Source organism: Homo sapiens, chromosome 8, assembly GCF_000001405.40.
Source record: "Homo sapiens chromosome 8, GRCh38.p14 Primary Assembly".
Classification (NCBI taxonomy): Eukaryota; Metazoa; Chordata; class Mammalia; order Primates; family Hominidae; genus Homo; species Homo sapiens.
Window position 1 is genome coordinate 41,609,962 of NC_000008.11, and position 15,040 is coordinate 41,625,001.

The 15,040-nt window shown below is 49.3% G+C and overlaps 1 protein-coding gene across 7 annotated transcripts in view, besides 1 other annotated feature; it reads left to right on the forward strand.

Moving 5' to 3' along the window:
- GPAT4 (glycerol-3-phosphate acyltransferase 4) overlaps nucleotides 1-15,040 on the forward strand; it is a 46,802-nt gene extending 31,762 nt beyond the window's left edge. For 5 of the 7 annotated variants that reach the window (XM_047421370.1, NM_178819.4, XM_047421372.1 and 2 more), the window contains 9 exons: nucleotides 775-849; nucleotides 1,942-2,031; nucleotides 2,219-2,312; nucleotides 2,884-2,999; nucleotides 4,425-4,480; nucleotides 5,002-5,087; nucleotides 8,723-8,851; nucleotides 8,937-9,016; nucleotides 10,932-15,040. In XM_047421370.1, coding sequence (XP_047277326.1) covers nucleotides 775-849; nucleotides 1,942-2,031; nucleotides 2,219-2,312; nucleotides 2,884-2,999; nucleotides 4,425-4,480; nucleotides 5,002-5,087; nucleotides 8,723-8,851; nucleotides 8,937-9,016; nucleotides 10,932-11,040 — 835 coding nt within the window. In that variant the 3' untranslated portion in view covers nucleotides 11,041-15,040. Of the gene's footprint in view, nucleotides 661-774; nucleotides 850-1,941; nucleotides 2,032-2,218; nucleotides 2,313-2,883; nucleotides 3,000-4,424; nucleotides 4,481-5,001; nucleotides 5,088-8,722; nucleotides 8,852-8,936; nucleotides 9,017-10,931 lie in introns of all 7 variants that reach the window. The other 2 variants (NM_001363198.2, XM_047421374.1) reach the window with 2 other exon arrangements.
- Nucleotides 13,040-13,139: an enhancer, noted in NCBI's record as "active region_27290". NCBI's record gives its function as "activates an Ori minimal core promoter by ATAC-STARR-seq in GM12878 lymphoblastoid cells {active_cell/tissue: GM12878}" and the evidence as "EXISTENCE:reporter gene assay evidence [ECO:0000049][PMID:35858748]".

Sequence of the window (15,040 nt, forward strand, 5' to 3'; positions counted from 1 at the left end):
CAGGGCCTGCGGGAGTGGGGCTCGCTGCTGCCACCCCACGTGGTGCACAGCCCACCTGCCTGCTCTGCTGTGTATTCCCGTTTTAGAAAGGAGGAGGGAATGACTGTCGTTAGCCAGGCCACGTGACTCTTTGGAGGGATACACTGGTGATTCTCCTTTAGAGGCCCTTGGATTCTCTGCATATCAGACAGAAATAGTTGGATTTCTTAAAGACAGCTTGCTTCTCTAGATGACAGCAAACACAGGGACAGGGAACATTGTGTGCTTTCTGCCACTCCTTCCTGGACATGGCTCATTCTTTCCTGAAGCTTGCCTCTCAGGTACAGGGGCAGTATTGATCTTTCAGCTTCTCTGCACCATGTGCTGCTCTGAGTGTGCCTTGCCAGATGCTAATACCTTCAAGCTCCACCTCCTGTTGCTTCAGAGGGAAGCTGTGCTTCCACCGGGGTTTCCAGCCAAAGGGAAGGGGAGGGCAGCAGGGAGCAGCCCTGTGGCAGAATGGCCAGCTTAGGGTTTTCCAGCCTTCCAGCTGCCTGAGGCCTCAGGAGATGCAGGCAGCTGAGAGCCAGACCCATGGCTCACTGTCAGCTGGAATCAAAAGGATCTCTGGTTCTGATAGGCCTGCTTACATTTCTAGGTGAACTCTGGTCCAGGTCCCAGGTGAGCAGGTCTTGGGGGTGGTTTTTGTGATGCCCCCTTTGATTTTCACACCTTCAGTTCTGTACTTGGTAGAATGATTTGCTGGCTGTGCTCTAACTTTTCTTCTTCTTACAGGATAGCACTGGCTTTCACAGGGATTAGCCTTCTGGTGGTGGGCACAACTGTGGTGGGATACTTGCCAAATGGGAGGTGAGTAGAGTGTGGCAGTCCATGCCTGAAGGACAGTTAGTTCTGGGAATGGTGCTCAGATATCGAAGGCAAGGACACTTCTTTGGACACAACCAAAGCCATGGAATCTTAGATGGATTAAATAACCCAGTGGTGGCCAGGCACGGTGGCTCATGCCTGTAATCCCAGCACTTTGGGAGGCTGAGGTGGGTGGATCACCTGAGGTCAGGAGTTTGAGACCAGCCTGGCCAGCATGGCGAAACCTGTCTCTACTAAAAATACAAAAGTTAGCCAGGCACGGTGGCGGGTGCCTGTAATCCCAGCTACTTGGGAAGCTGAGGCAGGAGAATCCTTGAATCCAGGGGGCAGAGGTTGCAGTGAGCCAACATCACACCACTGCACTCCAGCCTAGGCAACAGAGCGAGACTCCATCTCAAATAATAATAACAACCCAATGGCAACAACGGCATCAGCAGTAAAGTCTTTACTTTTTTTAAATTTTGATCTATGACTGTTCTTTTTGTCCTTCAGCCCTCACATTCTTCCCATTTTGAAGACAAAAGGGAGGAGCCACAGACATGTAGAGTCCGAGACTCAGATGTTAACAGATTTTACAGCTTGTTGTTTAGTTTTGAGCATTTGACTGTGTGGATAAAGTGATGAGACAATACAGTTTTTAAAATGGTTTGAAATGTAGGGAGGTTTTGTCTGTTTGTGTGAAGAATATTTTGCTCCCTTTGGGAAGTTCTGGGGTTTAGAAACCTTTCTTCTGCCTGGGCGGGTGAGGAGGTTGGCCTCTGGCCTTGGACCTGCCTCTGGATGTTGACTGGGGGAACGGAGTTCAGCCCGCCTGTGGTCTGCGGATGCCGGATTCTAGGCTGTGAATTCTCCACCCACTGATTTGGGTGGATGTAAGTGAGTCTCCCTGTCCCCTCTTTCTCTCCTCATGTGTGAACATAAAGGTGCTCATGCATCACAGGACTTTCCTGTAGGTGCTGATGTCTATACAAGCACTTTGCTGTTATAAAGGACTGCTGAGCTGTTGAAGTCAGTAACTCTTTCTGTCTTCCTGTATGTAAAATAAAACCCAGAATCCTTGTCCTGTTATTGCAGGTTTAAGGAGTTCATGAGTAAACATGTTCACTTAATGTGTTACCGGATCTGCGTGCGAGCGCTGACAGCCATCATCACCTACCATGACAGGTGAGAGCGCTTTGTATTGATAGGAAGGGAGATGGCGCTGCAGGAAACACCACCCACCTATACTTAGCCAAATGGGAAGACACTTCTGAGCTTTTAGTTAGAGCAGATGAAGCATGTGAGGTGAGAGGTGTGTTACATGAACTGTTTCACACTAATTTTGGTTGCTTTGCATACATTTTAAACCCAGGGAAAACAGACCAAGAAATGGTGGCATCTGTGTGGCCAATCATACCTCACCGATCGATGTGATCATCTTGGCCAGCGATGGCTATTATGCCATGGTAAGAGCTCTTTCCGGTGCGTTCTTGAGGCAAGACTTCCTGCTTTAGAGTGGTCAGGGCTAGGAGGCTCCTGGACCCTTCACATAAACACATTTATGCGTGGGCCAGGCCCCCACCTTACTGTCACTGTGGGGGCTCTGTGGGACTGTGATAGGAGATACCCTGGGCAGAGTGATTGGTGAGTGTGGCTGGAGAGGATGCCAAGGGCAGTCAGGCAGACCAGCAGGGGCAGAGGGAGTTGCTGGCAAGGACTGTGTCCAGGGCATCTGAGAATCTGCCCAGGGAGGGGCAGTTTTACACAGGGAATTGCGCTACTTTAGTATTTTAGTATTTTGTCTTAGGGGTTTCAGTTATGTTTTTAATTACCTATTTCTAGTATTACTGATTAAAAGGAGAAGTTTAAGATTTGGGGAGTCTTGGTAGTGGTTTCTTGGCAGTGAGCAACCTTCAGCCGGCAAGCGTTAGAAGTGAGAAGTTGGACTGCTTATTTTGTGAGATGTGGTTCTTCCTAGAGTGGGGAGATTCGTGTGAAGATGGCTTCACTACTAATGAGTCCTGTGCCTGCGCTTAGGTGGGTCAAGTGCACGGGGGACTCATGGGTGTGATTCAGAGAGCCATGGTGAAGGCCTGCCCACACGTCTGGTTTGAGCGCTCGGAAGTGAAGGATCGCCACCTGGTGGCTAAGAGGTAATGGACAGAACACTGCTGTTCTGCTTGGCCAGTTAGAATGCTGAAAAGGTTTCAGGGTAGTTATCCCTCCACAGTGCAGTTACGTGCCTTCTATCATAAGCCTATACTGCTTTCATAATAATTTTTTCCTAAAACATGAAATTTTAAAAGTGGCCGGGTGTGGTGGCTCATGCCTGTAATCCCAGCAGTTTGGGAGGCCGAGGTGGGCGGATCACTTGAGGTCAGGAGTTTGAGACTAGCCTGACCAACATGGTGAAAATACAAAATACTAAAAATGCAAAAATTATTGACGGGCATCTGTAATCCCAGCTACTAGGGAGACTGAGGCAGGAGAATAGTTTGAACCAGGGTGACAGAGGTTGCAGTGAGCTGAGATCGCGCCATTGCATTCCAGCCTGGGCGATAGAATGAGACTCTGTCTTAAAAAAAAAAGTATAGAAACCCTAGTATTATTTACCAAGTTAATAATGTTTCTTAACCTTTTTTTAATTCATTGTACCCATCATAATAAACAAAATACGAATTTTTACTGCTATTTGAAACCTCAAAATGAATTCATTTATCACAAATAAAAAGAAACCTAAGGCAGTGGAACAAAGTACTGCCCTGTTTTCAAACTTTAAGAAGGTGAATCTGCTGTAAGTAATGCAAAGAGATTTGCAGCAGACAGAGACATCAAGACAGTTGAGACCAAGCCACACATGGTGGCTCAGGCCTGTAATCCCAGTGCTTTGAGAGCCCGGGAGTTCGAGACCAGCCTGGGCAACATAGGAAGACCCCCATCTCTACAAAAAATTTAAAAATTAGCTGAGCGTGGTGGTACGCTTCTGTAGTCCCAGCTACTTGGGAGGCTGACGTGGGAGGATCGCTTGAGCCAGGGAGGGTGAGACTTCAGTGAGCTATGATTGCACCACCGCATTCCAGCCTGGGCAACACAGGGAGACCCTGTCTCAAAAAATAACACATAAGAAAAGACAGTTGAGATTATCTTCCATAGAGACAGATGAACTCTCCCCTAACTCCCTTTGCTACATCTCAGGGACAGAGCATCGAGCCAGCAGGGCTGGGCCCAGCCTCACAACTGTTACATAGTCTAGTGACACAGGTTTATTGAGGGGGCCATGCCCAGGCCTTGTGGCAGGTGTCTCTTTCAGGTGGCCCCCAGGTTGAGTGGCATCATTGGTGCTCCGATGTTCGCACAGAATTGAACAGTTCTGTGAATTAAATGGTAACCTGATTTTTCTCTATCCATATACATTTTTTCTTGATGAGCATTAGATTATGGGTTTAAAAGGATACAGTTATGCTTGTTAACTTTTTATAATCGAAACTAGTGTCACAAATAAATAGGTTATTTATAAACATATTTTGACGATGTGTATAAGGTTGTCTGACCCTTTATTTTATTTTCTTCTTTGAAAGACTGACTGAACATGTGCAAGATAAAAGCAAGCTGCCTATCCTCATCTTCCCAGAAGGTAAGAAGGGGTTGGTTGCCACGAAGGGCTTCTGTGGGGAGTGCAGGAGTGTGATGCTGATGTTTCCTGGGAACCAAGGCCCTCAGCCCTTGTTGGGGTTATCTGTTTTCACTGAATAATGTTAGGTCCCCTTTAGGTTGGAAGTAGGACTAAAAACTCAGGTAAGTTCAGAATTTGAACTAAGAATGCCATAGTGTGAACTCCCCAAATGCAGGAATTTCTTCTGTAATGTTTCAGCTCCTCACAGAGCTCATGGTGTCCTCCTAAGGCCACTGCGCGTCTCTGCTTTATCTAGGCTGTGTGTATGAATCAGGGAAAGTGGTCCTGTAGAAAGAGAATCGGAGGCACCATCTTGCCTGTCTCTGTTAAGTGTTTGTTTTTAAGTTAGGGAGATGACAGATGTATCTTACTGGAGGAACCATTAGAAGAATTTTGACTATTATACTTAGTCTTTAAGAAACGCCTAATATCTGGGGTAAAGGGCCAACAGAAATAGCATTTTATTGTCTCCTGCATTTTAGGAACCTGCATCAATAATACATCGGTGATGATGTTCAAAAAGGGAAGTTTTGAAATTGGAGCCACAGTTTACCCTGTTGCTATCAAGGTATAAGACCTCCGATGGTACACACTGTCATTACTGGAGCTGCTGTGAGTGGGGTGCAGCAGGAGGAGGTAGAGGAAGGAGCTGGGGTCACCAGTCTGTGGTCGATGCCCTCAGCAGAGTGGCGTGGGGCTGGGTTGACGTGGGTCAAGTGCTGCCGGAGGAGGATGGTGAGTGCTCAGCACCCCTTAGAAGGGCCTGGGGAGTGTGGAATGGGGGACAGCCAGATTCCCGCCTGCATGCTGCTGCCGCCACCATTCGGGAAATGGCAAGCCCTTCACTTATTACCTTGCTTCATAAACCTAGCTGGAATGTAGGCCCCTCCACATGGAAAGCTGGCTGATTGCAGGGCACAGTGGTGTGGTTTTAAGCTGGATTTTTGCATTTTGGGGGAGCCATGAGGATTGGGGGGGGGGTCATTACTCCAGCCCAGTGGGAGAAACAGCTTCACTGCTTTTAGTTGTGTCATCTTTTAGACCTACAACAGCTCCTAACAATGAGATGGACCCTGGGAGTTTATCTAGTCTACGTCGACCCTTTAGGAACTGCTCCTCTAACCCTTCAGACACCCAGAGCTATAGGATGTGATTAGCTAGTCATCTGCACATTGTTCCTCCCCGCTCTTACCCTCTTCACATCCACCAGGCCTCACATCATGACACCTACAAAACACAGGCCATCCTCAGTGTGGTTAAAGTATTTAGGCTGCAGCCTGAGAGCTCGATAAAATGGTGAGCAGATATGAGTCAGGCTCACACTTAGAATTTCTTTTGTAGGGGACTGGGTTGTCTGCAGAGCATTCTGTAGAGTTGGTTCTGACTTTCTTTTCACCTTGCCAGTGCCACTGGAGAGGTGTTGCTCCTGGTGAGGCCGATGCTCACCAGCCACTCACTGTTTATCATTTAGGCAGAGGACCAGGCCAGGGATGGCAGATGAATATTGCCTGCAGGGGACTCTGATTGACAGGCTAGGACTCACCAGAGCCTGAGGATGCTGTGTCTGGAAACAGCAGGAAAGAGGAACATAGTCTGTTAGCAGAGTCTGCCTTGGGTGTGGGAGTGGGGACTGGCATCTGCATCCTGCATTCTGGCAAAACGAGGACAGGTGCTTTGCAGTGTGACCGTGATGCTGGATGGAAGCCCTTACTGCTGCCTCCAGAACAGCAGCTCTTGAACTTAGGCTGCATCAGCATTGCCTGCAGGGATTGTTTAAATGCAGATTGCTGGGCCCCACACCCAGGGTTTCTGAACTTCCTATTCTTTTTCTTTTGAGGCAGGGTCTCAGTCTGTCACCCAGGCTGGAGTGCAGTGGCACAATCATGACTCATGCAACCTTGACCTCCCACATTTAGGTGATTCTTGTGTCTCAGCCTCCCAAGTAGCTGGGATTACAGGTGCACACCACCACACCTGGCTAATTTTTTAATTTTTGTAGAGACGGAGTTTCCCCGCGTTGCTCAGACTGATCTAGAACTCCTGGACTCAAGTGATCCGCCTGCCTTGGCCTCTCAAAGTGCTGGGATTATAGGCCTGAGCCACCCCGCTGGGCCTTCTGATTTTCCATTCTAACATGTTCTGGGTGGCATTGATGGTGCCAGTTGGGACCACACTGTGGCGGCCACAGTTCTGAAGCAGTGGCTCTTAGCTGCTGTCAGAACACGAACCCTGAGGAGTTTCCGCTCCTCTCCAAAGTAAAATGCTTATAAATTTTAGATACATTTCCATTTAGTCCACAGAGTAGAGCCCATGTATGGCTAAGAACATCTGGTCTACAGATTACTGGTTTTTGTGAACTCTTTATTGGTAATCAAACTTGGATAACCTTAGCGATTTCAAGGCTCTTCTTATATTTCCACCGGAATCCAGCCATGACCTGATGTGAGGAGTGTGTCGCTGTGTTGAGCTTCTGCCTTTTTTCTCTGTCCACACACACTGCCCAGTGTGGAATAGAGAATCAGCCCGAAACAAAGGGTTCTCACACTCTGGTGACATCAGAATTTCTGTCCATATCAGGCTTTATAAAATACAACGACATGACCAGATGCAGTGGTTCACGCCTGTAATCCCAGCACTTTGGGAGGCTGAGGCCGGTGGATCACTTGAGGCCAGGAGTTCGAGGCAAGCCTGGCCAATATGGTGAAACCCCGTCTCTACTAAAAATACAAAAAAATTAGCCGGGCGTAGTGGCAGGTGCCTACAGCCCCAGCTACTCGGGAGGCTGGGGCAGGAGAATGGCGTGAACCTGGGAGGTGGAGCTTGCAGTGAGCCGAGATAGCGCCACAGCACTCCAGCCTGGGCGACAGTGTGAGACTCTTGTCTCAAAATGTATATTATTATATATAAAATTAAAATTAAAAAAATACTTTCTGATCATACACATTGCTTAGTTTTAAAAACTTATTATTTTCCCTTGTTTCTGTTGGTATTATAATAACACATTAAGTCTTCTGTAGTTAAATCTAATTTTCTTAGCTTCTATAATTAAGCCTAAGTTATCTTCATTTTTGTAGTTAGGGCCACAGTCTTGTCAAAATTGTCCAGTATTTATACTGTGGATCATAAAACTTAGGCTGGAAAGGCCTATAAGATCATAGAGTTCAACCCTAGCCCATCCCACATGCAGGACCCTGCCCTGGGCTCCTTCTCAGGCTTTCCCAGGGAAAGGGCATTTTTGATGTTGTTGGCAGCATGGCCGTGTGGCATAACTCTTGAAATTCTGGCTCCTTTATTTTTCCACTCTGGTCCTGGGTGTTTGCACAAGGTCAGCCTACTGCCTTGTGTACAGGATCCCTTCAGACATTCGCTGGCAGCACCAGGCACTTTGTCCAGGCATTCTCAAGCACCCAGGTCCTCCTGTTGCTCCTTGCGCAACTTCCTCTAGAGCTTACCTACCCTGCTCACCTGCCCCTCCAGCTACTTGTTTGGTGAGAATGTGGGTCACAGCTGCAGCTACATTTTCTGCAAAATGCCAATGAAATAATGAAAGGATCTGATACCTGCTTCATGGTAGATGCAGGCCTGTGTGGTTGAGACCTCCCAAGGCTGTCAGCGTGAGCACAGAGCCGCCTCCTGAACAGACGACTGACTTTGTTGGAAGTGTAAATGTAGAAGCTTTCTAATAGTTTCCTCCCTGGTCTGGGCACCAGAAATCATATTTAAAAGTTGGTGTTTGTGTAAGAAAATATCTTTATTTGGGGGAGGTACACTAGATGAATGACAGGATGCTGAGAGGGGACAGGTGGAGCAAGTGGGAAACGTTGGCGGTGGTTGAATCAGGGAATGGGTACATGGGAGTGCATGATCCTTTTCTCCCTGGTTTTGGAGATGTTTGAAAACTTTATATACCTATGAGTAAGACCTGAAACTAATCAAGGAGGGAAGACATTTGCTTGAGGCAGGCTGTCAGGGGAGCCTTCCTTACTGATCTGTAGCAGAGGCCGGGTTCCTCGGGGGAGATCAGTGTTGCTCACAGTCAGAACCGGCCACATGGAGAGGGGCTTCCACAGTACTCATGCAAGGTCAGGGAGCAGCACCCCAGTACCAGCACGGCCCAGTGGAGTCACTCACAGCAGTCACTGTGGACTCGCAAACGTTGTGAGAACTACTCATGTCTTACCTCCAGCTTTCCATTGTTTTCAGTATGACCCTCAATTTGGCGATGCCTTCTGGAACAGCAGCAAATACGGGATGGTGACGTACCTGCTGCGAATGATGACCAGCTGGGCCATTGTCTGCAGCGTGTGGTACCTGCCTCCCATGACTAGAGAGGTGAGTGCCTGCCCCAGGCAGGTCTGCGCCTGCTCTGTGTAACGTCAAGCCGGGGCTGAGTGGTCTCATTTGTTCTTTCTTACAGGCAGATGAAGATGCTGTCCAGTTTGCGAATAGGGTGAAATCTGCCATTGCCAGGCAGGGAGGACTTGTGGACCTGCTGTGGTAAGTTTAGAGCCAGGCCTTTTCAGCTGAGTTTCTGCAGCAGATGCTGTGTCATTGACTTCACTTACATGTCATTCCCCGTGGTGTGGAGAATTAAACTTGTCAGCTCTAGAGAGAGCAGTTTGACTCTCCCCGAATTCCAACCCAGAAGTGCCCTGTGCTTCCTTGACCTTGGGGAACCTGGATCAGGGATGCCTGGACTGAGGCAGTTGATTCTGTGTACCTTTCTGGGGTTTGAACCAGTCTTCCAGGACACCTGGACAGTGCCCATCTCTGGGTGGGCATGACCTGCTACTGATCTGAAAACTTCAAGAAGGAAGGAGGACTTTCCCAGGTCCCAGTGTATCTGGCAAAATTGAACCATTCTTAGAAAGGTAAAGGTTGTGTTTGGTGTATTCAGCTTGTTACCTAATAGAGCAGGATTGACATACTTTTTCTGTAGTCAGTAAATATTTTAGGATTTGCAGGCCATATGGTGTCTGTTGCAGCTACTGATGATCTCTGCCATTGTAGTGTGAAAACAGACAGTCTATAAACCAATGAGCATGGCTGTGTTCCAATAAAACTTTATTTACAAAAACAGGTATCAGCTGGATGTGGCCCGTGGGCTGCATTTGACCAGCCCTTATACTAGAGTATGAGGTAGTTTTATCCCAAACAGTAGGAGACTGACAGGGGTCAATGCTGGTTCAGAGAAAGTTTTCCACTCTGTGGGGCATTTAGGTTTAAGAGCCAAGGGTCAACTGGGGAGAGCATTTGACTTAGATGGGCATTATCTATGAGAAAAGAAAGGGTAGAAATTCACATTGTAAACCCAACTGTAGAGTCTCAGGGAATAGATTGGCTCTCAGATGATGGCCTTTTAAAAAATGCTAGTGTGGATTGTGCACTCACTGTGTGCCAGTCACTGAGCTGCTGGGGCCCTGTGTGATCGTCTCTTTCGCCCTCACAGTAGCCGCAGCGCTGTAAACAGTGTTCCCATTTTGCAGATGAGAAACTGAGACTCAAATCACTTTTTTCCAAAGTCATAACATTAGCACTGGAGCTAGATTTTGAACCCACATCTCACAGACTTTTAGAGCTTGAAGGTTTAACTTCTGCCCCATGTTCCCATCTCTGAAGTTTAACAAAGACAGAGTGGCTGCTTTTAAAATCTATGCCTTTGCTATGGATTTTAAAGGGTGTAGCGGAGAGACTGAAAGCGGGCTTGGATTTTTATAAGTTGTTGAAGGTGGTGATAATTCTAGAGTGTAGGCACGGAGGGGGCCAGCAGGCAAGAGGCAATGGGACTGTAATGAAACAATCCCAAGTCTGGTGGGTTGGTTTGGGGCTGCTGCAGGGAGGCACGGGGGCAGTGAGGCTGGAACTCTGAGAGGCAGCCCCGGAGGTAAACCTCCATTCCTGACGGCACTCTTTTTTTGAGCATGGAAGAAGTCAGAACACGCGTTACCCCTTGTGTTAGCTCTCTGCATGAGTTCAGAGTATCCCTGGGTCTGAATTAAACAAATGACATTTTACAGATAGATTTTACAGATACGTTATGAGTCGATATTTCTTAAAGCATGTCTACCTTCCATAATGCCAGAATTCCTCCTTTTCCTTTGTGAGGTGAAGATGAATGTTAGAGTAGAAAGAATTGTAAACTCCTTGGTAGGTTTAAGCAGTTATCAAGTACCTTGAATGTGAGTAGTAAATTCTCACCCAAGGGCAAGGGTAGACCTTTTGAGATAGAAAGGGTGGATATTGGGATCCCGGAGCCCCAAATCCCCTGAGGTTGTCTTGGTGAGAGTGCCACGGGGTACCCTGTTTCTGGCAGGTTTTTCTTGGTGTTTGGGCAGCATGGTGCATCTCCCATGGTGTGAGCGTGGCTGGGAGCCCTCTTGGCTGTTACTACATCCAGCCTTTGTCTCTCCAGGGATGGGGGCCTGAAGAGGGAGAAGGTGAAGGACACGTTCAAGGAGGAGCAGCAGAAGCTGTACAGCAAGATGATCGTGGGGAACCACAAGGACAGGAGCCGCTCCTGAGCCTGCCTCCAGCTGGCTGGGGCCACCGTGCGGGGTGCCAACGGGCTCAGAGCTGGAGTTGCCGCCGCCGCCCCCACTGCTGTGTCCTTTCCAGACTCCAGGGCTCCCCGGGCTGCTCTGGATCCCAGGACTCCGGCTTTCGCCGAGCCGCAGCGGGATCCCTGTGCACCCGGCGCAGCCTACCCTTGGTGGTCTAAACGGATGCTGCTGGGTGTTGCGACCCAGGACGAGATGCCTTGTTTCTTTTACAATAAGTCGTTGGAGGAATGCCATTAAAGTGAACTCCCCACCTTTGCACGCTGTGCGGGCTGAGTGGTTGGGGAGATGTGGCCATGGTCTTGTGCTAGAGATGGCGGTACAAGAGTCTGTTATGCAAGCCCGTGTGCCAGGGATGTGCTGGGGGCGGCCACCCGCTCTCCAGGAAAGGCACAGCTGAGGCACTGTGGCTGGCTTCGGCCTCAACATCGCCCCCAGCCTTGGAGCTCTGCAGACATGATAGGAAGGAAACTGTCATCTGCAGGGGCTTTCAGCAAAATGAAGGGTTAGATTTTTATGCTGCTGCTGATGGGGTTACTAAAGGGAGGGGAAGAGGCCAGGTGGGCCGCTGACTGGGCCATGGGGAGAACGTGTGTTCGTACTCCAGGCTAACCCTGAACTCCCCATGTGATGCGCGCTTTGTTGAATGTGTGTCTCGGTTTCCCCATCTGTAATATGAGTCGGGGGGAATGGTGGTGATTCCTACCTCACAGGGCTGTTGTGGGGATTAAAGTGCTGCGGGTGAGTGAAGGACACATCACGTTCAGTGTTTCAAGTACAGGCCCACAAAACGGGGCACGGCAGGCCTGAGCTCAGAGCTGCTGCACTGGGCTTTGGATTTGTTCTTGTGAGTAAATAAAACTGGCTGGTGAATGAACTGGGGGACTTCTCCCTTTACTTTCTCCCCTGGCTGTGGCCCTGAGTAGCAGGCTTCTCGTGAGGATTCCCGTTCTCTTCTGGGAGCATGGCCCTGGGGCTGCGGAGAAGCCAACTGACTGCTGGAGCGAGGAACCCTGCAGCTCAGAAGGTGAACAGCTCGTCTCAGATGCTTGCAGATCTTTGGTTAATTTAGAATTTCCAGCACAGACGTGGATTTCTCCAGAGACGGGGTGTGTGCGGGTCGCTGATGTGAGGCCTAGGGGAAGCAATGAGTAAACTCCAGGGTGGGGGAGGAGCAAGGGCCCGGGGAGGGCTGCAGAGGGGCCGGGGCGGGGCAGGGCCTGTGCTGCATGGTGGCTTCTGCAGGGGAGGGACAGGGGAGGGCTGCAGAGGGGCAGGGTGGGCAGGGCATGTGCTGCATGGCAGCTTCTGCACAGCCAGAGCAGGCACCACAGGAAAAGAGTCGGCCACTGGTGCCTGCTGTACAGTCACAGTGGAGGCAGAGCCAAGGCCAAGCAGCCCCTGTGGGTTCTGGGGTTTCACCAGTTTCATGCTCCTCAGCTCCCCATTCATGCCCCACCAGCCCTCACTTGGGACCCATGCTCCCTCGTGGCACAGTCATGATGCCTCTCAGGATTTTGTGCCTGTGGTGCTGAGTGTCACGTCCCCAAGGTCGCCCTCTGGCCTGCAGTTCAGGGAGTGGGTGGGAGTGAAGCTGTGCTCCTGGGGCTGCAGACAGATCCACTTTGCATGTGGTACCTGCTGGGTTGGCCCTGCAATCTCCTTTTCTCTGCACCTACCTGTGACCTCCCTGGGAGAGCCTCCCATTTCCTCACCTGCCCTGTTGCCAGCCCGGGGGAAATCTTTTTGCTCTCAAATGAAGACTGAAAAAATAAAGTCAGTGTTATGACTAATAAGTCTCTTAGGAACTGTTTTACAAAATGCTTAAGAATAAAAAGTGATTTTCAGCTTTTATAGGTGATGTTTACAGTGTTTGTAAACCAACTGGAGGGATCAGTAATTGGTCTTAAAAGATCAGGTTCTCTTTTAAAAAGTTCATCTGAAACTTTATGGTTTGTTACTTTCGTGATTTGCATAGGTATTTATATATACACACACACACAGGTTTTGCTTTTGTCTCACATTCAGCACAGCTGTCTGCGGCCCCTGCCGGCAGGTGTGGCCGCACCTGGTGTGAAGTCACGTGGAGTCAGTGCTGTGGAGGGAAGTCCTGTGCGGGCCGGGCAGTGAGGAGAGCACTGATTCACGCCTGCAGAAACGTAACCTCCCCTTTCCGTGTATGCCTTTTACCATCATCCAGGCGACTGCTCCATCCTTTTAAATTAGGGGTCCTGCAAGCCCCAAGTGACCCATAGTCAGAGTATCTGGTTTGGGGTAACCGAGTTGGTCTTATGGGGCAAAAACTCAAGACACTTAGAAACATGCAAAGTACAAAATAATGTGTTCCCTCCTGTTACCCCAGCAAGGGTGGGGCTGAGCTGGGAATGACACCCAGTGGTGTAATGAGTGGAAAGTGCTGGTCAGCTGCTAACCCCCCTCCAAGCCTGCTGCACCTTCACTTCTCTGCATCCGTCTCCTGAGTCATAACTAGGGACTTGGCTAGATGACCTCAGAGACCTCGTCCACCTCTGAATTCTCTGTTTTTAAGCCCATAGTTCAAACTTTGGCTTTGATCTCTGAAGTCTTCTGGGTTTGGAAATACGGGAAGTCAGCTTTGAATCCATTGCTTCTCTAAAACATCAGGGCTAGTGGAACTAACCCACTTGAGGGTGACCTCAAGGGCTTTAGGCAGCCATGGGGCTGGGGCCATACTGCTCTCAGGCTGGGCAGTATCTTCATTGTGGTTCTCAGACAGCCTTTTTTACTCAAACATGAGACTTTCCACCCACCAGTTAGGGAACTTTTTTTTTTTTTTTAAACACGGAGTTTCACTCTTGTTGCCCATGCTGGAGTGCAATGGCACAATCTCAGCTCCACTGCAACCTCTACCTCCCGGGTTCAAGTGATTCTTCTGCCTCAGCCTCCAAGTAGCTGAGATTACAGGCATGCACCACCACACCCAGCTAATTTTTTGTATTTAGTAGAGACTGGGTTTCACCATGTTGGTCAGGCTGGTCTCCAACTCCTGACCTCAGGTGATCCACTCTCCTTGGCCTCCCAAAGTTCTGGGATTACAGGCGTGAGCCACTGCGCCCAGCCAAGAGGGAACTTTTTAATAAAGCTAGTGGGATTCCCTTGACAGCAGAACCAGCCTTGGGACTTGATGCTTCACCGTGTCAGAATCCGTCCCTGGTGCTGCCTTTCAGAGAAGAGGCTTGATGTGTGAGGGGTCAGGGGGAGTGCTCCAGATCCCTGAAATGCCCTTCCCAGACCAGTGACAGGCATTTTTGGGTGCCATCGTGTGACCTTCACGGCACAGCAAACAGTGGGCACTAACCCTGTTGTCCTGTGGAAATCTGGGTCTCTGAATCCTGCCATTTCCTTCCTGGAATTGGCCAGGAACTTGATTTTCTGGGCTATTGCTTGCTAGTGTCCCCTGATGCATGAAGGATCCCCCCATGTCATAGGTCCCACCTGCCTGCTGTGCATCCCGGGTGGCCAGACTCGGCTTCTCCAGGTGCACTTGTCCCAGGTGGCCCGGTCCGTAGGCTGGAAGGGCAGCTGCAGGTGCACTGCCTCGCGGACAGGTTAGGATATGGCCACGCAGCCATCCATCTTCTACAGCACGCACACCCCACTCTCTCCCCCAGTCAATATGTCTCTCTCCGATGGGAAAGTTAATAAATTTTGCTCTAGATTAAAAGTATTGATCATTTCATTTGTAAACGATAAATAAAAAGGGGGAACTTTTCATTGCGCCAGGGGTGGCACCTGGCGTGTGTTGCGGGGGTGATTGCGCTGGCTGCCGGGGGGTGGGCTTCTCATATGCATTCTGGCCGGCCAGCTGCATTGATTTCCTATTAGTCTCCCAGCACCACCCAGTAACACATCATTTCAGTACCTGCTATTAATGGTCTTTTGATAAATAATCACTTGTAAGTCAATAAATTTTTATTAAACAGTG